At 53.9% G+C, this 24,726-nt stretch overlaps 1 protein-coding gene across 6 annotated transcripts in view, besides 3 other annotated features; it reads right to left on the bottom strand.

Moving 5' to 3' along the window:
• PDE4C (phosphodiesterase 4C) overlaps nucleotides 1-24,726 on the bottom strand; it is a 47,398-nt gene that overhangs the window by 17,159 nt on the left and 5,513 nt on the right. For 2 of the 6 annotated variants that reach the window (NM_001369701.2, NM_001098818.4), the window contains exon 1: nucleotides 1,147-1,315. Coding sequence is in view for 4 of the 6 variants with exons in the window: in NM_001098818.4 (NP_001092288.1) it covers nucleotides 1,147-1,292 (146 nt within the window). In the remaining 2 variants the exon portion in view is untranslated. Of the gene's footprint in view, nucleotides 1-402; nucleotides 1,316-7,826; nucleotides 8,278-9,094; nucleotides 9,124-11,734; nucleotides 11,939-23,047; nucleotides 23,078-24,726 lie in introns of those variants that run through there. The other 4 variants (NM_001414480.1, NM_000923.6, NM_001330172.2 and 1 more) reach the window with 4 other exon arrangements.
• Nucleotides 1,199-1,258: a silencer, noted in NCBI's record as "silent region_10381". NCBI's record gives its function as "represses an Ori minimal core promoter by ATAC-STARR-seq in GM12878 lymphoblastoid cells {active_cell/tissue: GM12878}" and the evidence as "EXISTENCE:reporter gene assay evidence [ECO:0000049][PMID:35858748]".
• Nucleotides 6,428-7,119: an enhancer, noted in NCBI's record as "H3K27ac-H3K4me1 hESC enhancer chr19:18342361-18343052 (GRCh37/hg19 assembly coordinates)". NCBI's record gives its function as "activates a minimal SCP1, AML or CMV promoter by ChIP-STARR-seq in naive H9 embryonic stem cells {active_cell/tissue: H9 hESC(naive)}" and the evidence as "EXISTENCE:reporter gene assay evidence [ECO:0000049][PMID:30033119]".
• Nucleotides 23,218-24,121: an enhancer, noted in NCBI's record as "H3K27ac-H3K4me1 hESC enhancer chr19:18359151-18360054 (GRCh37/hg19 assembly coordinates)". NCBI's record gives its function as "activates a minimal SCP1, AML or CMV promoter by ChIP-STARR-seq in primed H9 embryonic stem cells {active_cell/tissue: H9 hESC(primed)}" and the evidence as "EXISTENCE:reporter gene assay evidence [ECO:0000049][PMID:30033119]".

The raw sequence follows: 24,726 nt of genomic DNA on the forward strand, positions 1-24,726 counted from the left end.
GGGGTCAGGCTGTGGTTCCATGACGCGGGCGGTGCGGGGGTAGAGCCCCCCGGCTGTGGGAACGGCGCGGCTGCCCATTGGCCAGGGGGGTAAACTGAGCCAGGGAGGCTCGGACTTGGGTTCGGGTCTGGCCTGCGCGGGGCCGGCCCTCGTTCATCCTCACTTCTGAGTACCCGCGACGCGCCCTCGACGTCCCTGCGCTGTCTCTAGCGCCTTCAAAAGGGAATGTGCTTCGCTAGTGTTTGGTGCCCCGAGGTCGCTCTCCAGGACACGGAACCCCCACTCTCCCACTCCCTGGTTGAAATGGAACCACCAGGAACCACGGTCATACCTTCTCCCTCCAACCCCAGCTATGACCTTGGAGAGGGACCTCCCCTCTCAGCCTTTGGGTGCCAGACTTACCAAGTGGGTGCCAATTCGGCGCGGACCAAGCGCAGGATGCCAGCCACAGTCGGCGCCCACAAGCCCCACTCCGAACCCCAGCCTTGCCCCCATCCCTCCCCACGAGGTCACAGTCGTTTCTGGAAAGGCAGGGATTCGAACCCAGAGGGGTGGACCGAGTGCTTAGAGGATGCAGCGCAAGCAGCTGCCGGGCGCAGGCGCGCGCTCAGCCTGGGACTCCCGAACGCCCTGCCTCGAAAACCCCCTCAATTCAGGTCTTCCTCCGTGGACACCCAGAGTTCATTGTGAGGCCCCCAGGGCATCTCTTTGCTGGCACTGGGACAGGATGCTGGTGGGAGGGGGCACCAAGGGAAGGAGTGCCCCTTCCCCCTCCTCCCACTGCCAGGACGCACAGCCTGCCTGCCCCAGGCCGGCGAGGGTCAGGAGGAGACGTGAGCCTCAGCCCGTCCCACTCTGGGCCTCACAGCTGGAAGGAGACAGACGGCTGGTCCCCTGGGCCTATATCCAGGCGGCGGGTGGAGACAGACGGAGACAGAGAGAGACAGAGTCACCAACTGCGAGACAAAAGTAGGGTAAGGTAGGGTAGAGGGAGAGAGATACAGAGAAAGCGAGGGAGAGGCAGAGCGTCCAAGCCCGGACTCCGGCCCCGGCCCCAGCTGTCCCTGGCCTTGTCCCTGTCCCTGCCCTTCCCACCTCCACACCGGGCGTCCCGGTGACCCCGCCAGGCCCTCTGTCCAGCCTCACCACAGCGGATGGGCCACCGTGAAGCGCCGCTGCAGGCGGATGCTCTGATTCACCAAAAGCTTCCTGAAGAGCCCGGGGGAGCCGCGCGGGGATCCCCGAGGGGAGCCGGGCCCGGGGACCGGGGCGGGCGCGGGGGGGCCCTGCATCGCCAGGACTGCGTGGAGGCTGGACCGAGCGCCGGCTGCGCGGGACCTTTTCTGGACAGCTGCGGGGGCGGGGCCCAGCGGGGAGGGGGCAAAGGGCGCATCGGCCCCGCCTCGAGGCCGGCGGCTCCCTGACGACCCCCGGGACAAACGGGGAAACTGAGGCACAGAGTCAGACGCAACTCTCTGCTCCTTTTTTTTTTTTTTTTTTTTGAGACGATCTCGCTGTGTTGCCCAGGCTGGAGTGCAGTGGCACAGTCCTAGCTCATTGCAGCCTCAACTTCCTGGGCTCAAGGGATCCTCCTACCTCAGCCTCCCAAGTAGCTGGGACTACAGATGCACACCACCACGCCCGGGCTAATGTATTTTCTGGAGAGATGGGGGTGTCTCTTTATGTTGCCCAGGCTGATCTCGAACTCCCAGACTCAAGTGATCCTCCTGCCTCAGCCTCGCAAAGTGCTGGGATTATAGGTGTGAGCCATTGCGCCAGGCCCAACTGTACTTCTTTAGAGGGCTGCCCCTAAGATCTCAGAGCCTGGATCTTACTCAGCCTTCCTCGGCACGTCCCTGGTTAGTGCAGCTTGCTGGGCCAATAACTGCTAAAAAGTGTAGAATGAGGGAGTCAGAAAGCAAGGTGCCCAGAGAAACAGCTGTCTTGCCTTCCATTATTGAGGGCATCACCGAGGTATAGAGTTTGCCAATGTCCGATCCCACGCAATGTTTCTAATCCTCCTCTGCCCATTTTCCAGATGGAGAAACTGAGGCCTAGTGCCATCAAACAGCGCACCAGAAACTACAAACCCTTAATCCTTTGCCAAGTGGGGAAACTGAGGCTTCCATGGACGCGGTCACGGGCATGGGTCTTTGTTGCAGAAAGCGAGACCCAAACTCAGGGCCCCCTCTCCCAGCACCCCTCCACGCAACTCCCCACGTGATCCCCCACCTGCTCTGACATTCCCCAGGCCCTGTCTCTGGATGCCTTCACCTCTCCTGCTGTCTCCTCCTAGACAAACATCCGCACATCACCTCTGCCAAGTCTTCTGTCCTGCGAAACCTCAGCCGCCCACCCCTGCCATCAGAGGGACCTCACTGTCCCAGGACTGGGGGGGGCCTCTGGTGTCTGGGAGGATTCCCAGAGTCTGTACCAGGTGCTCTACCCTCAGAATGCTGGAGTCAGGCTGGCCTTGTTCCACTTTACAGAAAAGGAAACCAAGGCTTAGCATGTGTCACACAAGGAGGAGGGACCTAGAAACAGCCATGTCACAGGCAGAGGCCCAGGGGACCTCCCAGCAACTGAGGCCTGACCGTGCCCCTTGCTGTGGAATGACCTCTGTCTCTCAGCCTGGGCCTTCCCCCCGGGGCGGCTGCCTCAGTCTTGGTGTCCCCAGACATGGTACCCATGTTTCTGGCAGTCCTGGAGAAGCCCATTGATCAGGGATCCCACAGGAGATCCTGAGGCAACCATGCTAAGGCCAGATACATGAGAGTCTCCCCATTCTACAGATGAGAAAACAGAGGCTCAGAGGAGGAGTCACACAGCCCAGAAAAACAGAGAGCCTCAGGTATCTGGCCAGGAAGCCCCCCTAACCCCCGCAGTCTTGCAACCAGACACCTGGCGGGAACCAGACCTCGCTGTCCCCAAGACAAAAATACCATCGTTGTCTGCTGGGGCCAGACCTAATTATAGCCATCCCTAGGGGACACATGCTGCTAGGATTGGCCTTGTGGGGACACTGGAGCCAAGGTCTCAGCAGTCTTGACACCACCTCCCCGCCACTGTGAGAGAAGTGACAATAGTTACATGTCCCCAAGGAGAAACCGAGGCACAGAGATTCAGCCCCTCCCCCAAAATCACAGACATAAAATAGGAGGCTAAGACTAAACAAAATTATGTAAACTGAGTGCTTCAAAAACATGCAGCACTCAGCCAACAGCAGTGAAGGGAAAAGTCATTGGATTTTCAGACGAAACCTACAAAGTGTGGACTACTATTCCCATTTCGAGGATGGGGCTACTGAGGCACAGAAAGGCACAGTCATTTGCCTAAGGACACACAGCCATAAGGTGCAAGACTGGGGTCATTTGAACCCGGACAGGTAGTGTTCTTCCCAGCCTGGGTCCTCCCGCACTGGATGCGTTAACTCATTTCATCCCCTCTGTAGTCCCAGGGGCGAGTCTCACATTAATATTTTATCAATAGGTTTACTATTAATGTTTCATCCATATATTTAATTTTAAATATTTTATTAACAGTTCTAACAGGAAGGTGTTAATTAATAGCTGTTCGGATGGAGAAAGAGTCACAGCAAGGGGTGGCCACAGAGCCAGGACTCAGCATTCACAGCCTGGCTCCTACCAGGCCCTGGGAGGCTCTCCAAGCCCCGCTGGGTAAGGGACAAAAGCTGAAAGAGGTTTGGACAGAAGCACCCCTACCCTGACTCCATCCCTGCATTACTGCATCTCCTGTAGAGGTGCCCAGTAGTCTCTGGTGCCTTTATTTATTTTATTTTATTTTATTTACATATTATTATTATTTTTTGAGAACAGAGTTTTGCTCCTGTTGCCCAGGCTGGAGTGCAATGGCACAATCTCGGCTCACTGAAACCTCCGCTTCCTGGGTTCAAGCAATTCTCCTGCCTCAGCCTCCCAAGTAGCTGGGATTACAGGCATGTGCCACCATGCCAAGCTAATTTTTTTTTTTTTTTTTTTTTGTATTTAGTAGAGACGAGGTTTCACTATATTGGTCAGGCTGGTCTCGAACTCCTGACTTCAGGTGATCACCTGCCTCAGCCTCCCAAAGTGCTGGGATTACAGGCGTGAGCCACTGTCCCTGGCCTTACTTTTTTGAGACACAGTTTCACTCTGTCGCCCAGGGTGGAGTGCAGTGGCGCAATCTTGGCTCACTGCAACCTCTGCCTCCTGGGTTCAAGTGATTCTCCTGCCTCAACCTCCCAAGTAGCTGGGATTACAGGCATCTGCCACCACGCCCAACTAATTTTGGTATTTTTAGTAGAGACGGGGTTTCACCATGTTGGCCAGGCTGGTCTTGAACTCCTGACCTCAGGTGATCCGTCTGCCTCAGTCTCCCAAAGTACTGGGATTACAGGTGTGAGCCACTGCGCCCATTCTGATGCCTTTAGCACAGCACTGCCTCAGTTTCCCTCATTTGAATGTTCCCTTCTCTGGGCAGGCACTTTTCTCCACTGCCACCAGGTGGCCCCAGAGAGATTTTTTTAAATGGGTGTTTTTGACCATTTTACAGATGAGTAAACTGAGACGTGGAGAGGGGAGATGACTTGCCCAAGTCCCCACGGAGGAGTCAAGCAGAATGAGCAGGGTGGGGGCCAGGTCACATGTGTAGATGTTCGCATGGGTCAAATCACACACTCCTTTGCTGCAGACCCTCCCATGGCCCCCCATTGCCCTCAGATCTGAATTCACACCTCCCAGAGGTCCCATGTGGCCCATCCCCACCTCACTTCTCTTGGCTTACACTGTTCCAGTCTCTCCCCACTCCTCACTGTTCTCTGAATCAGCCAGGCTTATTTCCACCCCATGGCCCTCACCTGAATGCTTGTCGCCTGCTGATGCTTTGTCTTTTGGGTTACAGTTAGAGTCACCTCCTCCGAGAAGCCCTCCCTGACTAGCCAGGTAAATGCCTCAGAGCACCCTCCAGCCATGGATACAACTTCACATTTATTGTCATGATTATTTGCCTGTGAGTCCCTGGAGAGCAAGGCCAGGTCTGCCATGTTCCCTGCTGTTCCCTCAGTACTTGGCACTTAGTAGATGCTCAATAAATGCTTGTAGCGGCTGGGTGTGGTGGCTCATGCCTGCAATCCCAGCACTCTGGGAGGCCACGGTATGTGGATCACTTGAGGTCAAGAGTTTGAGACCAGTCTGGCCAACATGGCAAAACTGTCTCTACTAAAAATACAAATATTAGCCAGGCATGGTGGTGGGCACCTGTAATCCCAGCTACTGGGGAGGCTGAGGTAGGGGAATCGCTTGAACCCAGGAGGCAGAGGTTGCAGTGAGACAAGATTGTGCCACTGCACCCGGCCTGGGCAACAGAGTGAGAGACTCCATCTAAAAAATAATAAATAAATAAATGCTTGTAGCATAAACAGAGAGCCTCTCCTTCCATCCTCAAGCCACACTGATCCATTTTCAGCTCCTCACATGCCTGATCCTCTTGAGTCTGAGGCTTTGCACATTCTGTTCCTTCTACTTAGAATACCCTTCTTGCACTCACCCTAGCTGACCTCTTTCCTCCTGCAGGCTAAGCTTAAATGTCACTTCTCCCAAGCAGTCCTCCCTGACTCCCACCCCACTGCTGGGTCTGGAGCCTCCTCTGGGCTTGTTCTCTGACCTTTCCCTATCAACCTGTGCCTTCTCCACCTGGTATGAGTGTCTCCACCATCAGCCTTAGGGGACACAGCTTCTTATCCATGGTTGCGTCTCCAACACAGGGCCTGCCACCCAGTAGGTGCTTAAATGCCTTCTCAACAAAATGCTTAGACCCTCCCATACCCCTGTGATCCATCTGGGGCTGTGGGGAAGCACATTCCCCCAACAGTTTCTAGGGCTGAGTAAAGAGCCACAAGCTGGGGACCCAGTGTGTACCAGGCTCAGGCACAGAATATTCACCTCTCTGATGAGGACGCCGAGGCTCCGGGAGGCACCACGGCTTGCTCAATACCACACAGCAGGTTGGCCTTGGGGCCTGGCCTTGAACTCAGTTTCGCTGGGCTTCCCCCTGGGGTGAACCCCTACCCTCATATCAGCACAGAGAAGCACAGTGGGCCACATGCATGCTCATCCACGTATGTGTGACTGCAGCGCATACGATGCGCAGAACGACGTGTGTGTGCACACACACGTGCACAGGGACACCCAATCCACCGCTCCTGCCTCCCAGAGCCAAGCGGGGGCTTCCCCTAGAAGAGCTCATACCAAGGCTCTGTTTGTTCTTTCTTGAAAATGGAAAATCATGAGTCACCAGAAGGGATGGGGAAGGAGGAACTAGAAGCCGGGGCGGGAGAAGGGGCTCCTGGGTCACCTGAGAACAGCTCCAACCCCTCTGGGCTGTGGGAACCATCTACCCCAGATGCCTCCCAGGCTGCTGGAGGGCCAGGCTGGGGGCGAGAGGCCAGGCTTGCTGATGGAGTCAGAAGCCAGTGGCCCCTAGGGGGTCCATGCACCAGGACGCAAGAAAGCCAAGCTCCAGAGCAGGGAAGTAACCCATCCAAGGCCACTCAGCCTGGACTGAAATCTGGGATGCTGGTCCAGCTGACTTGGTTCTCCCTCCAACCTAAGGAGGGCTTGGAGTTCCTGGACCCTCCTTCCTGGCCCTGGAGCCTCCACCTGGTAGTTGGAGACCCTCATGTAGGGCCCCCTGAGGATTCTACATTATCTTTCTATGAGTCTCTTCTGTCTCTGTCCTAACCCCACCCCACTCAACTTACACGAAACAGGAGAAGCAGCCCCTCCTTACTTAAGTGAAAGAAACTTCCTGTGCACGAGCTTCCCAAGGGACTTCCCTTCCTCCTACAGGGGAGCAGGGTGGGGTGAGGGAGTGGGGGCGGGGGAGGTAGCAAGAGAAGACTCCTCCCCCCAACACTGGAGGCAGCCTGCCCTGGCCCTTATATATCTATAATATATTAAATAGGCCAGGTGCTGTGGCTCACACATGTAATCCTAGTACTTTGAGAGACTAAGGCGGGAGGATTACTTGAGGCCAAGAGTTCAAGACCAGCCTGGGTAACATGGCAAAACCCCGTCTCTAGCAAAAATACAAAAATTAGCCAGGCCTTGTGATATGCCCCTGTAGTCCCAGCTACTCGAGACTGAGGTGGGAGGATCGCTTGAGCCTGGGAGGCAGAGGATGCAGTGAGCCATGATCGAGACACTGCACTTGTACCTGGGCAACAGAATGAGACTCTGTCTCAAAAATAAAAACGTGTGTGTGTGTGTGTGTGTGTGTGTGTGTGTGTGCGTGTGTGTGTGTATTTATATCCAAGCACCCCAGGGTTACCTCGGGTGCTTGAGCTGGTCACAAACTTCCCCCACAGGCCTGCGGACATTCCACAACCCCGAAAACCTTCGGACCCCCAGCTATGTTAGCACAAGGACAGTCACACTCAGCCACATACCTACAGGCACCACAAGGGGAGACACACAGGCACACCCACAACTACCTGGGACACATGGAATCATACCCAAGCATGAACGTACAGGAGCACCCCAAACACATCTGGTCACCCCAGTCTCACGCGCGCGCGCGCACACACACACACACTCTTTCAGTCCCAACCGCACGTGGGCACACCCGGTCACACAGACCCACAAGCCATGATGACACCAGCACCCTCAGCTCCACCCCTACGTAGAAATAGCTTTTTCCTTCCAGGCGCCAGCCTCAACCAAGCAGCAGAGACCCCCGCCCCCTGGAGAAGCAAGGACCCTCCCCCACTCCCGCCAGGCCCCGCGCGCCCCTCCCCCGCGCTGCAGGAGGCCCCTGCCCCGGCCACCTACCGCCTGCAGGAGGAAACGGGCCAGGAGAGCCGCGACTTCCTGAGCTCCGGCCGCGGGCTCAGGTCCCTCTCGCGGCAGCCCGCGGACTTGTCCGGATCCGAATAGAAGCGCTGTTGGATGCGGATGGGGCGCCGGGGTTGCCGCCACAGGTGCTTCGGGGCTCTGGTCATGCTGTGGCGGCCGCGAGAGCGACTCAACCTGCTGCAAGCCTCTGCCCCTTCGCCGACCCCCAGGTTCTCCATGCGCCAGAGAAAGGGGTCTGGGATAGCAGGGAGCAGGACTCGTCCCCGTGAGCGGGCGCCGAGGAGCGTCTGCTCCCGGGTCCGGCCCAGGGCCGGGAGTGGAGGCGACAGCGAGGAGCTGTCCGCGCCGGAGGTGCTGAAGCGGTAGAAGGTGGAACTGGGGCTCAAGGTGGGGCCGACACCGAGGAGCTGTCGATGCCCAGATGGTGCTGAAGGGTAGAACAGGGGAGAAGAACGTGGTGAGGGGGTGTTGAAGCTAGGGGCTGAAGAGACCCCCCCCCAACACACCAGCCCCGAAAACCGTCTGCCGTCCCCTATAGCGCTGCATGGAAAAGAACCAAGACAAGGACTTGGAGTGGAGAAGACAGAAATTGTCCACTGATCGCTGCTAAATGGAGGGCAGGGAGACAGGGTCTCAGGAGACCCCCGGGGCCGAGACGGTGTCCCTCGCACCGTGTTGAAAGAGAAAAAGGTAGCTTTGGGTTCTCCGGGTGGATGAGACAGCGAAGAGCTGTCCGCGACCTGATGGTGCTGAAGGCAGGGGAGGGAGACCGGGGTTCAGGTGCACCCCCAGACCAGGGCGTCATCCGCCCAGGAGGTGCTGAAACATGAGCAGTGACGGGCCCTCAACCTTCCCCAGCAACAATGGCAACAAGGAGTCTGGAAGCAGTCAAGGTTCTGGTCTTCGGAGGTACGTACAGATAGCAGTCTTTCTGCCAAGCCCAGGAAGGTAGGCTCCGCGGTTCAGCCCCAGAAGGGGTCTCTTTGGAGCCCTAAAACCCCCACCCATGCCAGGCAGGGATATGAGAAGGACAGGGAAATTGGCAAGGCTGTGAGGGGGCTCCCATGTCTGGGATGGGCACACAGAGGCTACCTCTGGCCAGAGCTCCAAACAGCTACCAGTAGGGATGGGCAAAGAGGGGAAGTCAGGTCTCTCTAAGAAACATCCTAGTTCTGCTTCTAAGACCCTCCCCACCCCAAAGCCATGCTGCAGCTGAGTTGGGGGAGGACTGGCAGAAAACCCACCTTTTGTGGAAGCTCAGGACAGGCAGGAGGAGTATCTCTGAGACTCTCGTGCTTTTAAAGCCACACCAACACACAGACCCTCAGCGGAAATGGCAGGATCTCATTCGCCCTGAGAAAGGCCCAGGCCCCACCTCACAGCCACGATTCCTGCCCTCAAACCCCAGGCCTGCCCCTCCCTCCCAGTTCTGGAAACTCAAGTCTCCACCCACCAGGCGTCTTAGTCTCAGGGGTAATTTCCTGGGAAGTGCAAGGATGGGTAAGAACATTTTCCATCATGGTTAACTGAAGTAGGCATGAACAGCAGCAGGGCTGGGCGGGTGAGTGTGGTGCAGAAAGAGGTGAGATTTTGTACTCCCAGGGTCATGACTTGGTGGAGGCCTCCTGTGGGCTCTGGGCTTGGGCAGGGAGGCATTTAAGGCCATTAGGGTGCCTCTTGCTGCATCAGATTTGAGAAGAGCCCCGATGTTTTTGGAAGTCTCAGAAGCACTCAACAAGGTCTTTCCCATGGAGACCATCTCCCAGTGACCCCAGCCATGTCCCCAGGTTGGAGAAAAGGAAAACATTTGGGCCAGGATGTCAGACAGACTGAATTCAAGCCCCAGTACCATCATGTCTTGCTGTGTGACGCATGACAAATGACTCCCTCTCTGTTCTATGCTTGGGTGGTTCAGTCCCTGTTCTCCACCCCCCCACCACTCCCAAGAACTGACTGTGGGAGACAACTTGGCTCAATGGTGAGGGACATGGTCACTGGCTGGCTCTGTCACTTCCCCTCCCAAAGTCTTTTTTTAAAATATTCTGGAAAAGAGGAATAATAATGGTGTCTCCAACTCTTGGCATCATTGCAAGGACTAAAAGTGATGCCAGATGTAAAGGGTCTGAGACCAGGAGCTGTGCATACCAGTGCCCCCTCTCCCCAGCTCCTGCTAGCATCCACCAACAACTGGTGTGTCTAGTTTGTTTGTTTGTTTGAGACGGAGTCTCACTGTGTTACCCAGGCTGGAGTGTAATGGTGCGATCTTGGCTCACTGCGACCTCTGCCTCCCAGGTTCAAGTGATTATCCTGCCTCAGTCTCCCAAGTAGCTGGGATTACAAGCACCCGCCACCACACCCAGCTAATTTTTGTATTTTTAGTAGAGACGCAGTTTCACCATGTTGTCCAGGCTGGACTCGATCTCCTGACCTCAGGTGATCCACCCGTCTTGGCCTCCAAAAGTGCTGGGATTACAGGCGTGAGCCACCATGCCCAGCCCTGGTGTTGTGTCTACTTTGTAAATGTCATCCAAAGCTCCTCACTTCTCTCCAGCCCATGGCTCCCACCCTGGTCCAAGCACCAGTATCTCCTGCCCAGACACTGCCCAAGCCTCCTTCCTAGTCTCCTTGGTCTCCTTCCACTCCTATCCCTGACAGTCAGTGCTCCACAACAGCAACCACAGGGAATTTTTTAATGCCAATATTGACCAACTCTCTCTCCGGAAGACACACCTCTCACTCTCCAGGGCACCCCATGAGGTCTGGTGTGTGGTTTCAGCTCCTGCCTACTTCCCGGGGCTCCCCTCCCACCCTCCAGCCACACTGATCTGTTTTCAGCTCCTGACACACCTGATCCTCTTGAGTCTGAGGCTTTATACATTCTGTTCCTTCTGCTTGGAATGCCCTTCCCCGCACTCCCACTGGTTGACTTCTCTTCATCCCTCAGGCTAAGGATTTGTTTTACTGTTTTTTGTTTGTTTGTTTGTTTTGTTTTGTTTTTAGATGGAGTCGCCCAGGCTGGAGTGCAGTGGTGTGATCTCAGCTCACTGCAAGCTCTGCCTCCCGGGTTCACGCCATTCTCCTGCCTCAGCCTCCTGAGTAGCTGGGACTACAGGCACCCGCCACTACGCCTGGCTAATTTTTTTGTATTTTTAGTAGAGACGGAGTTTCACCATGTTAGCCAGGATGGTCTCGATCTCCTGACCTCGTGATCCACCCACCTTGGCCTCCCAAAGTGCTGGGATTACAGGAGTGAGCCACTGCACCCGGCCTGTTTTTATTTTTTTAAGATGGTGTCTTGCTCTGTCACCCAGGTTGGAGTGCAGTGGTGCAACCTCGGCTCACTGCAACCTCCACCTCCCAGGTTCAAACAATTCTGCTCCTGAGTAGCTGGGACTACAGGTGCACCCCACAACTAATTTTTGTATTTTTACTAGAGACAGGGTTTCACCATGTTGACCAGGCTGGTCTCGAACTCCCGATCTCAAGTGATGGACCGGCCTCAGCCTCCCAAAGTGCTGGGATTACAGGCATCAGCCACCACAACCAGGCCCTCAGGTTAAGTTTAAATGCCACTTCTTCCAGGTAGTCCTCCCTGAGCCCCCTCGATGTGAGGTCAGGAGCCTCCTCTGGGCTCCTCTGTTCTTCTCCATCACAGCATGATTACTTTGTCCTGTCTCTGCCTGGTATGATCTGTCTCCACCATCAGCCTGTGGGCACCTCCTTGTGCATGGCTGTGTGCCCACTGTGTGCCAAGTACAGGGCCTGGCACACAGTGGGTGCTAACTTAATAAATGCTTTCTGGATAAGGTCAAGAAGGGTTCAGATGGACGAACTGCTCTTCCTCTCCTGGGGCCGGCCCCTTTAATCCCCATCAGCCTTCTCACCTATCTGGGACCACGCTGTCTTTTCTCTGTCCCTTAAGCCTCAATGGTGAACACCACATGGGTACTGGGCTCGACCTCTCCAGGCAACACAAGGCGGCTCGGCAGCGATGGCAGCAATGGGGTACCCGAGAAGCCTCTCCGGATGATACCACCACCAAGGGGGCTCACAGGGGCCAAGCCAGAATCCACCAACTCCCAGAACCACTGGAAGAAACCAGAAAGACATGAGCAAGTTCTTGGTCATGGGACCTCTCTAGGACCCTGAAGTGCCCTCACCCAGACACCTGGACTGGCCCAGAGAGCTGTATCTCAGTCCTACTCTCCTGAGTGAATTTACCTCTCTGAGCCTCAGTTTCCTCATCTGTGAAGTAGGGATCTCAAACGTGGGGGGATATAAATAGTGCCTGGTCCAGGCCAGGCGCTGTGGCTCGTGCCTGTAATCCCAGCACTTTGGGAGGCCAAGGCGGGAGGATCACCTGAGGTCGGGAGTTTGAGACCAGCCTGACCAACATGGAGAAACCCCACCTCTACTAAAAATACAACATTAGCCAGGCGTGGTGGTGCATGCCTGTAATTCCAGCTACTCGGGAGGCTGAAGCAGAAGAATCGCTTGAACCTGGGAGGCGGAGGTTGCAGTGAGCCGAGATTATGCCATTGCACTCCAGCCTGGGCAACAAGAGTGAAATTCCATCTCAAAAATAAAAAATATAAATAAATAAATAGTGCCTGGTCCAGCCAGGCCCAGTGGCTCACGCCTGTAATCCCAGCACTTTGGGAGGCTGAGGCAGGCGGATCACGAGGTCAGGAGATCAATACCATCCTGGCTAACATGGTGAGACCCTGTCTCGACTAAAAATACAAAAAAATTAGCCGGGCGTGGTGGCGGGCGCCTGTAGTCCCAACTACTCAAGAGGCTGAGGCAGGAGAATAGTGTGAACCCGGGAGGTGGAGCTTGCAGTGAGCTGAGATCGGGCCACTGCACTCCAGCCTGAGTGACAGAGCGAGACTCCATCTCAAAAAAAAAAAAAAAAAAAAAGTGCCTGGTCCACAGTACACATTGCAGAAATATTTATTTATTAACTAATAATAGCATGCTCAGTAGGGCACGGTGGCTCATGCCCATAATCCCAACACTTTGAAAGGGTGGTTTGACCCCAGGAGTTCTAGACCAGCCTGAGTAAAATAGTGAGACACTAGCTCTACAAAAAATAAACAAAATTAGCCAGGCATCGTGGTGTATGCCTGTAACCCCAGCTACTCAGGAGGCTGAGGTGGGAGGACTGCTTCAGCCCAGAAGGTCAAGGCTGTAGTGAGCCAAGATCATGCCACTGTACTTTAGCTTGGGTGACAGAGTGAGACCCCCTGTATCTCTCTCTCTCTCTTTTTTTTTTTTTTCGAGATGGAGTCTCGCTCTTTCAACCACATCGGAGTGCAGTGGCACAATCTCGCCTTACTGCAACTTCCATCTCCCAGGTTCAAGTGATTCTCCTGCCTCAGCCTCCTGAGTAGCTGGGATTACAGGTGCCCACCACCACGCCTGGCTAATTTTTTGGTATTTTTAGTAGAGAGGGGTTTTCACCACGTTGGCCAGGCTGGTCTCGAACTCCTGACCTCAAGTGATCTGCCCACCTTGGCCTCCCAAAGTGTGGGAATTACAGGTGTGAGCCACTGCGCCCGGCCGAGACCCTGTCTCTAAAAATAAAAATAAATAAAACAGTATGTTTATTTTTATAACATATTATATGCTATATAATGCTATTTATTATAATGCTATGCACCATAGTGATATTCTATTGTATATTTTTTCTTACATTTGAGATTCCAATATATTATTTATTAAAATATAAAAGTAGGGCCCAGCACAATGGCTCATGCCTGTAATCCCAATACTTTGGGAGGCCAAGGCAGGTGGATCACAAGGTCAGGAATTCGACACCAGCCTGGCCAACATAGGGAAACCCCATCTCTACTAAAAATACGAAAATTAGCCAGGTGTGGTGGCACACGCCTGTAGTCCCAGCTACTCAGGAGGCTGAGGCAGGAGAATCACTTGAACCCGGGAGGCGGAGGCTGCAGTGAGTGGAGACCACACCACTGCACTCCAGCCTGGGTGACAGAGCAAGACCCTGTCTCAAAAAAAAAAAAAAAGTAAAACAATAAAACATGCAGTAAATAAGCAAATGAATAATAACGATAGTACTAATGGCTAACATTTTCTGCACAATCACCCTGTATAAATGCCGTTCCAATAGTACATGGATGGGCTCATGAAGGTATAATGAAGCCATTTAGCACCATTATTTCCATTTAACAAAGGAGGAAATGAAGGCTCAGAGGTTAAGTAACTAGAGCCCAAGGTTGCAATTCATAAATAAAAGCAATTCTGAGCTTCAGTGCCGAGTTCCTTGAAGGAAGGACTGAATGGGAGAAACTAAATGAGATGCTGTTTCCAAGCAGGCTCTGGGTAAATGCTGGATACATTTTAAGAACAGGCAGAATCAGTCTGAACGGATGCGTTGGGAGTGTGAGCTCTTCAGCGCAACAGATCTGGGTTCAATCCAGGCCACGTGGTCCAGGGCAAGCGGCCTCAGTTTGCCCATCTGGGAAATGGAGGCGAAAGGGGTACGGATCCCTCAGAGGTGTTGATGATAAAACAATGGGACCCACGTGCGCCAGACACAGGCTGTGTGCTGTCCGCGGTGCTGACCCCAGAATGGGGCACAAAACTGGAACTCACAGCTTTGGGGTAAGGCGATCAGTGAAGACAAATGTGGAGATGGGAGAGGTGGGGTTCAAAGAGATGGCCCAGTCTTCCCCTACTGTCCTCCTGAGCCTCACCAATGAGCCTATCTCCACCACCAGACTGAGCATTAAAACTGGGAAACTGGCCAGGCGCGGTGGCTCACGCCTGTAATCCCAGCACTTTGGGAGGCTGAGGCAGGCGGATCGCTTAGGGTCAGGAGTTTGAGACCAGCCTGACCAACATGGCAAAACCCTGTCTCTACTAAAAATACAAAAATTAGCCGAGCATGGCGCTTTGCACCTGTAATCCCAGCTACTTGGGACGCTGAGGAAGCAGAATTGCTTGAACCCAGGGGGTAGAGGTTGCAGTGGAAAGATCTGGGCAACAGATCTGGGCAACAGCACTCAGGCTGGAGTGCAATGGTGTGGTCTCTGCTCACTGCAACCTCTGCCTCCTGGGTTCAAGTGATTCTCCTGCCTCAGCCTCCCGAGTAGCTGGGACTACAGACACATAGTCCCCATCTCAAAAAATAAAAAAGTAAAAATAAAAATAAAAAAGCTGGGAAACTGCCAGGCATGGTGGCTCATGTCTGTAGTCCCAGCACTTTGGGAGGTTGAGGCCAAAAGTGAGTTCAAAACCAGCCTGGGCACCCCGTCGCTACAAAACATTTTATAAATTAGCCAGGTGTGGTGGTACATGTGCCTGTAGTTTCAGCTCCCAAGGAGGCTGAGGCAGGAGGATTGTTTGAGCCCAGGAGGTTGAGACTGCAGTGAGCTATGATTGTGCCACTGCTCTTCAGCCCGGCTTACAGAGGGAAACTCTGTCAAAAAAAAAAAAAAAAACGGGGCTGGGCACGGTGGCTCATGCCTATAATCCCAGCACTTTGGGAAGCCGAGGTGGATGGATCACAAGATCAAGAGATCGAGACCAGCCCGGCCAACATGCTGAAACCCCATCTGTACTGAAAATACAAAAAAGTTAGCTGTGCCTGGTGGTGCGCACCTGTAGTCCCAGCTACTCAGCAGGCTGAGGCAGGAGAATCGCTTGAACCTGGGAGGCAGAGGTTGCAGTGAGCCGAGATCATGCCACTGCACTCCAGCCTGGCAACAGAGCGAGACTACGTCTCAAAAAAAAATGGGGAAACTGAGGTCCAAGACCATGCTGCTAATCAGGACCAGAGCCAGGGCAAAGTGGGGTGGGAGGAAGAGGGTGCGGAGAACGGATGTGAGTTGAACTTGAACTTCTGTGTGTGTAAGGGATGCAACATAGCTCATTTCCTTGCCTATGAGTGGAGGGCCCTCTGACTCGTGTTGTGGAGGAAGACATCAAAGCTTGGAGAGAAAATGACCTGCTTGCTGGGAGTCACACAGCTGGGGGCTTGAGCCACGCTCAGATCTCATCCTTCTAGGACTGTTCCCCGCATTTGAGCACAACTTGTCCCCACCCTTTCCCAGGGGCACCTGAAATTTAAGGCAGAAATGCAAGTGCTCTACAAGAGGCCTCCCTCGGGAGAGTTCCTGGTAGCTGGGAGGGTGTGTCGGGAATGAAGAGGGTGGGGTGTGTGGGGACAGTTAGCATCTCCCAGATGGGAGGCCCCTGAGATGTCAGCTGCTCATTTTCTTTTTTCTTTTCTTTCTTTCTTTTTTCTTCTCTTGTTTTTTTTTTTTTTTTTTTTTTTTTTTTTGAGATGGAGTCTCGCTCTGTCGCCCAGGCTGGAGTGCAGTGGCGCGATCTCGGCTCACTGCAAGCTCCGCCTCCTAGTTTCACACCATTCTCCGGCCTCAGCTTCCCAAGTAGCCGGGATTACAGGCACCCGCCACCATGCCCGGCTAATTTTTTTGTATTTTTAGTAGAGACGGGGTCTCACCGTGTTAGCTGGGATGGTCTCGATCTCCTGACCTCATGATCTGCCCGCCTCGGCCTCCCAAAGTGCTGGGATTACAGGCGTGAGCCACCGCGCCCGGCCAAGACAGGGTCTTTCTCTGTCACCCAGGCTGGAGCGTGCAGTGGTGCAGTCTTAACTCACTGCAGCCTCGACCTCCTAAGCTCAAGGATCCTCCCACCACAGCCTCCCAGGTAGCTGAGACTACAGTCACACACCACAACTCCCAGCTAATTTTTGTATTTTTTGTAGAGACAGGATCTCACTATGCTGCCCAGGCTGGTCTTGAAATCCTGGGCTCAAGCGATCCACAAACCTCAGCCTCCCAAAGTGCTGGGATTCCAGGCTTGAGCCATGGCGCTGGGCTTGTCTGCCCATTTTCCTGCTGGGAAAACAAGGTTCCAGATGGGAGAACTCCCTGCACACATTCCTATTTGTTCACGTATTCATTGAACAAATGCAAAAAAATAATTCACCTCGTGTTAGGAAGAAAAGAAAACTGGACAAGGGTCTGGGAATGAGGGAGTGGATCACATTGCTGGGGTGAGTTAGGGAATTTTCTGAGGAGGTGGCTTTGAGCCGAGGCCTGAAAGAGGAGAAAGAGCTGGCCAGGAGAAAGATAGGGGAACAGCATACCAGGCAGAAGGAACAGCACCTGCGAAGGCCCGGAGGTGGCAACAAGTTGGTAGGTTTAAGAAATGGGAATTGGTAAGCCAGGCACTGTGGCTCACGCCTGTAATCCCAGCACTTTGGGAGGCCGAGGCAGGCAGATCACCTGAGGTCAGTAATTCAAGACCAGCCTGGCCAACATAGTGAAACCCTTGTCTCTATAAAAATACAAAAATTACCTGGGTGTGGTGTTGTGTGCCTGTAAGCCCAGCTACTCGGTAGGCTGAGGGAAGATAATTGTTTATGCCCGAGAGGCGGAGGCTGCAGTAAGCCGAGGTTGCACTGTTGCACTCTGGCCTGGGCAACAAAGGGAGACTCCATCTCAAAAAAAAAAAAAAAAAAAAAAAAAGCCAGGCACAGTGGCTCACACCTGTAATCCCAGCATTTTGGGAGGCTGAGGTGGGCAGATTGCCTGAGTTCAGGAGTTCAAGACCAACCTGGCCAGCATGGTGACACCCTGTCTCTACTAAAAATACAAAAAAAAATAGCCAGGCATGGTGGCATGGGGCAGTAATCCCAGCTACTTGGGAGGCTGACGTAAGGGAATTGCTTGAACCAGGGAGGTGGAGGTTTCAGTGAGCCAAGATCGCACCACTGCACTCTAGCCTGGGCCACAGAGCAAGACTTTCACCTCAAAAAAAAAAAAAAAAAAGGGAATTGGGAGCCAAGGGCCAGGGTGGAGGGAAGTTCATTGCTTCAGGGGCTGGGTGAGGACTTAGGATTTGATTCTGGGAGAATGTTGAGGTTTTGAGGAATGTGATCTACTTGGGGATCACAGGAAGCCTGCTGTGGCCAATTTGGAGAGCAGGGCCTATCCCTGGGGCAGAGGCTAGAGCAGTGGCCAGGTGATATGGACCAGAGCGGGGCCTGTGAGTGGATCTGAGATATGTTTTGGGGGCTGAAAGACAGGCCATAGCCACGGGGTGTGAGAAAGAGAAGATTCAAGGGTGACTGGTGACTTTTTTTTTCTTTCGAGACAGAGTTTCGCTCTTGTTGCCCAGGCTGTAGTGTAATGGCACAGTCTCACTGCAACCTGCAACCTCTGCCTCCCATTTTCAAGCAATTCTCCTGCCTCAGCCTCCCGAGTAGCTGGGATTACAGGTGCCCACCACCATGCCCAATTAATTGTATTTTTTAGTAGAGACAGGATTTCACCATGTTGGCCAGGCTGGTCTCGAACTCCTGACCTCACGGGATCCACCCACCTAGGCCTCCCAAATTGCTAAGATTACAGGCGTGAGCCACCACATCCGGTGGTGACTGGTGATTATTAAGCATGATTACTTGTTTTTCAGAAAGCCAGGAGTCACACAGTTACCTGGGGAATGGGGCTGCCATTACTTGCATGGGGAAAATTGGGGGAAGCACCAGGCTTTGGGTGGGTTCCAATTTCGCTGGAGCATCACATGAGTCCCAGATGGAGCCAGCAGAGGCAGCTGAATGTTTGGATCTGGAATTATGGGGGACCTGGCTCAACTGAAGGTGAAACAGACCTAACAGGTCTGGGGGCAGTTGCCAGCATCTGGCTGTTGGTCAGATGCGGGGGTGCTCCCAAGAGCCCTGATTCCTGGGACCCAGCCAGCTATCCCTCCCCCATCTGGAGTGGAATGGGGTAAGGATGGGGCTCCCAGGGACTAGGGATGGGGTATAGTGGGGTGTCCTCTGGTCTCAGCTGCAGCACACATCAACCTACCACTCCTGATTTTTTATCTTTTATTTTTGAGACAAAGTCTCACTCTGTTGCCCAGGCTGGAGTGCAGTGGTGCCATCTCGGCTCACTCCAACCTCCAACTCCCTGTTTCATGTGATTCTCCCACCTCAGCCTCCTGAGTAGCTGGGATTACAGGCGCCCACCACGATGCCAGGCTAATCTTTTTTTTTATTTTTTATTTTTTTATTTTTAGTAGAGACAGGGTTTCACCCTGTTGGCCAGGCTGGTCTCTAACTCCTGGCCTCAAGTAATCCACCCACCTCGGCCTAAAGTGCTAGGATTACAGGCATGAACTGCTGCACCTGGCCCTGCTACTCCTGATTAATTGCCCTCTTCATTAAGAAGCTGGGATGGGGATGGAGGGCCTGATGGGAGGCTCCTGGGTGGGGAAGGCCTTCGTAGGAGACCCTGAGCTACCTCCCCTTTTTGTTTTGTTTTGTTTTTTTTTTTGAGACGACGTCTCACTCTGTCACCCAGGCTGGAGTGCAGTGGCGCAGTCACAGCTCACTGCAGCCTCGGCCCCCTGGGATAAAGCAATCCTCCCACCTCAGCCTCCCAAAGTTCTGAGATTACAGGCGACCGCGACCACACCTAGCTGAGAGCTCCCTTTTGTTGTTGTTGGGTTTTGTTGTTGTTGTTGTTGTTGTTTGTTTTGGTTTGTTTTTTGAGACAGGGCCTTCCCTCTTGTCACCCAGGCTGGAGTGCAATGACGCGATCTTGGCTCACCGCAACCTCCGCCTCCTGGGTTCAAGCGATCCTTCTGCCTCAGCCTCCCGAGTAGCTGGGATTACAGTCATGCACCACCACACCCAGGTAATTTTGTATTGTTAGTAGAGACGGGGTTTCTCCATGTCGATCAGGCTGGTCTCAAACTCACAACCTCAGGTGATCCACCTGCCTTGGCCTCCCACACTGCTAGGATTACAGGCATGAGCCACAGTGACCAGCTTTTTTTTTTTCTTTTTCTTTCTTTCTTTTTTTATTTTCTGTTGAGATGGAGTCTCACTCCTTCACCCAGGCTGAAGTGCAGTGGCGCGATATTGTCTCACTGCAACCTCTGCCTCCCAGGTTCAGGTGATCTTCCTGCCTCAGCATGCCGAGTAGCTGGGACTGCAGGCGCGTGCCACCATGCACTGCTAATTTTTTGTATTTGTAGTAGAGACAGGGTTTCACCATGTTGGCCAGGATGGTCTCGATCTCTTGACCTCATGATCCGCCAGTTGTGGCCTCCCAAAGTGCTGGGATTACAAGCATGAGCCACTGTGCCTAGCCTGTTGTTGGTTTTTTGTTTGTTTGTTTGTTTGTTTGTTTGTTTGTTTGAGACAGAGTCGCACTCTGTTGCCCAGGCTGGAGTGCAGTGGCACAATCTCGGCTCACTGCAACCTCCACCTCCTGGGTTCAAGCAATTCTCCTGCCTCAGCCTCCCAGGTAGCTAGGATTACAGGTGCCTGTCACAACACCCAGCTTATTTTTTGTATTTTTAGTAGAGACAGGGTTTCTCCAGGTTGGCGAGGCTGGTCTCAAACTCCTGTCCTCAAGTGATCCACCTGCCTCAGCCTCCCAAAGTGCTGGGATTACATGTGTGAGCCACCGTGCCTGGCCTCTTTGCTGTTCCTTAAACCTGCCTCGGGGCCTTTGCATGTGCTGTGCCATCTGCCGGGGACACCCTTCCCCCGGCTGTTAAAATGGCCAGCTGCTTGTTTCCATCCATACTTCAGCTAAAATGTCAACTTCCCGGAGAAGGCCCTCCTGCCCAGCTCGAGCAGTCTCATGAGCACTCACCCAACCCCACATTTTCTCTTTTTTCTTGCCTTAACATCTGTCTCATGAGCCCTGTCATTTTGGGGCCTGTCACTGCAGTTCTGTGTCCTACACACTCAGCATGTGGCTTGGCACACAGCGGGTGCCCATGTGCAGGTGAAATGACTGATGCTGTGAGCTGAGTGTGGGAGAGGTCATCAGAAGGTCCTTTATTTATTTATTATTATCATTATTTTTTGAGACGGAGTCTCGCTCTGTTGTCCAGGCTGGAGTGCAGTGGCGCAATCTCAGCTCACTACAAACTTCACCTCCCAGGTTCAAACGATTCTACTGCCTCAGCCTCCCGAGTAGGTGGGATTACAGGCACCTGCCACCATGCCCAGCTAATTTTTTTTTTTTTTTTTTGAGACAGAGTCTTACTCTGTCATCCAGGCTGGAGTGCAGTGCAGTGGTGTGATCTTGGCTCACTGCAACCCCTGCCTTCCGGGTTCAAGCGATCCTCCTGCCTCAGCCTCCCAAGTAGCTGGGATTACAGGTGCCCGCCACCACACCAGGCTAATTTTTTTTTTTTTTTTTTTGAGATGGAGTCTCGCTCTGTCACCCAGCCTGGAGTGCAGTGGCATGATCACGGTTCACTGCAGCCTCGACCTCCCGTGCTCAAGCAGTCCTCCTACCTTAGCCTCCCAAGTAGCTGGGACTACAGGCGTACACCACCATGACTGGCTATTTTTTTTTTTTTAATAGAGATAGGGTCTTACTGTGTTACCCAGGATGGTCTTGAACTCCTCGGCTCAAGCGATCCACCTGCCTCGGCCTCCCAAAGCGCTGAGATTACAGGCGTGAGCCACCGCGCCCAGACTACCCTTTTCCTTTCCTCTTCCTGCAGATGGCTGGAGTGTGGATAAATAAACATTAAGGCATATGCAGCTACGCCTGCCCTAGGAGACCCGAGGCTCACCCTGAGCACCCTCATTCCACACAAAGTTAGCCCAGTTTTTTAACACACAAAAACGCTGAGTTCTGGCCAGGTATGGTGGTTCATGCCTGTAATCCCAGCACTTTGGGAGGCTGAGGCAGGTGGGTCACTTAAGATCAGGGGTTCAAGACCAGCCTGGCCAACATGGAGAAACCCGTCTCTACTAAAAATACAAAAATCAGCCGGGCGTCAAGGCTTGTGCCTGTAACTCCAGCTGCTCGGGAAGCTGAGGGAGGAGAATCACTTAAACCCGGGAAGCAGAGATGGCAGAGAGCAAAAATCACATCACTGCACTCCAGCCTGGGCGACAGAGTGAGACCCTGTCTAAAAAACAAAACAAAACAACAACAGAAACCACTGAGTCCTAGAGAGGTTACCAGCCACTCAGGTGATGGGCCTGGGATTTGAATCCAGCCCCCGCAGGGTTTTCCTCTTGGCTCAGTTTCCCAGAATGGGGGCACTGGCTGTGATCTGAAGTTGTGACCTCATGACCCACTGCTCAGGCCCGGGGGCAGCCAGGTCCCCTTTTCTTGGGTGAGTCAAAACCTTGTGTCCAGGCACAAGGGATCTCCTGCTCCCAAAAGCAGTGGCCACAGCCCTGGGCTGGACAGTTGGATCAGGTCCCCAATTCCCTGGTGGCCTCTCTGGGCCTCAGTGGGCCCCTGTGAGCTGGTCCCCGAGCAGCTCTAAGTGTTTCTTTTTTTTTTGGTGGTGGGGACAGAGTCTCACTCTGTCTCCCAGGCTGGAGTGCAGTGGCGTGATCTCAACTCACTGCAACCTCCGCCTCCCAGGTTCAAGCAATTCTCCTGCCTCAGCCTCCAAGTAGCTGGACTACAGGCATGAGCCACCATGCCCAGCTAAGTTTTTTGTGTGTCTAGTAGAGACGGGGTTTCTCCATGTTGGCCAGGTTGGTCTTGAACTCCTGACCTCAAGTGATCCGCCTGCTTCGCCCTCCCAAAGTGCTAGGATTGCAGGCGTGAGCCACCGCGCCTGGCCAGCTCTGGGTATTTCTCAGTAGAGGGTCTCTGGGATCTCCCCACCATGGCCTGGGCCACCCCCACCCCCTACTCACTTCACTCAGCAGGAAGGAGAGTGTTGTCCTGCTGTGCCTCATGCTGCTGGCATCTGTGGCCCTGCAGAAATGGTTCTGAGACCTCCAGACCACTGGGAGCCCAGGTACGGCCCTGTGGGACACCCCCTAGACAGAAGCTCACTCCCACACTCTCTGCACCCTCCCTTGAACCCCAAGGAACTAAATCAAGGTGGCATGGACCACACCACAGGCACCAGTGTGAGACACCCGCCCGGACCTTGCAGCGGTCCCCATCCAGGGACAGCAGCCAGGTGCCCAAAGCCCCTCCCCACACCTGTCCAGGTTCAGCAGCCTGGGTGGGGGCATCAGGACTGGCGAAACAAGGTCTCCTGGCCCCAGACACATGGGAGACCCATTCAGCTCCCAGAGTGGCTCTGATGGTTTCAGGGGGATTACGAGACCCCAGCACCTCTCCTGAGACGCCCCCAAGCTCAAGAATAAGCTTGCTCCAGGAGGCCCAGGCATGTCTGGCACTTACCACCACTGCGGAGTCCTGCCTGGGTCCCATGACCTGCTGGCTAGTGAGGGAAGGAGGGGAGAAAATGACCTGACCAAGAGGGAGGCCCAGGGCTCCCTCAACACCCACTCAGCGGAGCCCCTTAACTGTCTGGGCACCAGGCCAGGACATAATCCACACACTTTCCTTGGGTGAGGCTCCCAGTGGGTGGAGGGCAGAGTGTCCAAGAGGGCCTGAGGGGACGAGAGAGTGGCCAAGAGGGTGGCCGGGCATGGAGGGGGAGGGGCGGGGAGGGCAGAGGAAGGAGGGGGGAAGGAGGGAAGGGAGGCGTAGGAGTGAGGAGGCTGGGTGAGAGGTGTTAAGATTAATTGTTCATGTGTTTGCATATGATAGAGTGAGAGAGAGGGCGCGAAGGAAGATGGTGGTAGGGGACCAGCAGCTCTGGGAAGGGGGGGATTTTATCAACTCAGGGTCTAGGATATCTGCTTCCAAGCAGAGCCCATGGGGTGTGGCCTAAGGAGCTTGGGGGCTCCAGGAAAGTTGCCCGCTGTGCTGTGCCGCCCCGGGTAGATCAAAGACCCTCTCTGGTCATTGGCTGGGCGCGGTGGCTCACGCCTGTAATCCCAGCACTTTGGGAGGCGGAGGCGGGTGGATCACGAGATCAGGAGATCGAGACCATCCTGGCCAACATGGTGAAGCCCCATCTCTACTAAAAATACAAAAAAATTAGCTGAGTGTGGTGGCAGGTGCCTGTAATCCCAGCTACTTGGGAGGCTGAAGCAGGAGAATCGTTTGAACCCAGGAGGCAGAGGTTGCAGTGAGCTGAGATCGTGTCACTGCACTCCAGTGTGGGCAACAAGAGCGAAACTCCATCTTATTAAAAAAAAAAAAAAAAGAATGGCTTGAACCCAGGAGTCAGAGGCTGCAGTGAGCCAAGACTGCACTACTGCACTCCAGCCTAGGTGACAGAGGGAGACTGTCTCAAAAAAGAAAAAAAGAGAGAGAGATGGGGTTTTGCCATTTTGCCCAATTTGGTCTCAAACTACCAAGCTCAAGCAATTCACCCACCTCAGCTTCTCAAAGTGCTGAGATTACAGTGGTAAGCCACCATGCCCGGCACCCCCAGTTTTGTTTGTTTGTTTTGAGACAGGGTCTCACTCTGTCACCCAGACTAGAGTGCAGTGGTGCAATCTCAGCTTACCGCAACCTCTGACTCCCAGGCTCAACCAATTCTCCTGCCTCAGCCTCCCTAATAGCTGGGATTACAGGCACACACCACCACGCCTGGCTAATTTTTGTATTTTTAGTAAAGATGGGGTTTCACCATGTTGACCAGGCTGGTCTTGAACTCCTGACCTCAAATGATCCACCCACCTTTGCCTTCCAAAGTGCTGGGATTACAGGTGTAAGCCACTACGCCTGGCCCTATTTTTTTTTTTTTTGAGATGGAGTCTTGCTCTGTTGCCCAGGCTGGAGTACAATGGGGCGATCTCAGCTCACTGCAACCTCCGCCTCCCTGGTTCAAGCGATTCTCTGCCTCAGCCTCCTGAGTAGCTGGGATTACAGGCACCTGCCACCACGCTCAGCTAATTTTTGTATTTTTAGTACAGACAGAGTTTCGCCATGTTAGCCAGGCTGGTCTCAAACTCCTAAGCTCAGGAGATCTGCCCGCCTTGGCCTCCCAAAGTGCTGGGATTACA

Source organism: Homo sapiens, chromosome 19, assembly GCF_000001405.40.
Source record: "Homo sapiens chromosome 19, GRCh38.p14 Primary Assembly".
Classification (NCBI taxonomy): domain Eukaryota; kingdom Metazoa; phylum Chordata; class Mammalia; order Primates; family Hominidae; genus Homo; species Homo sapiens.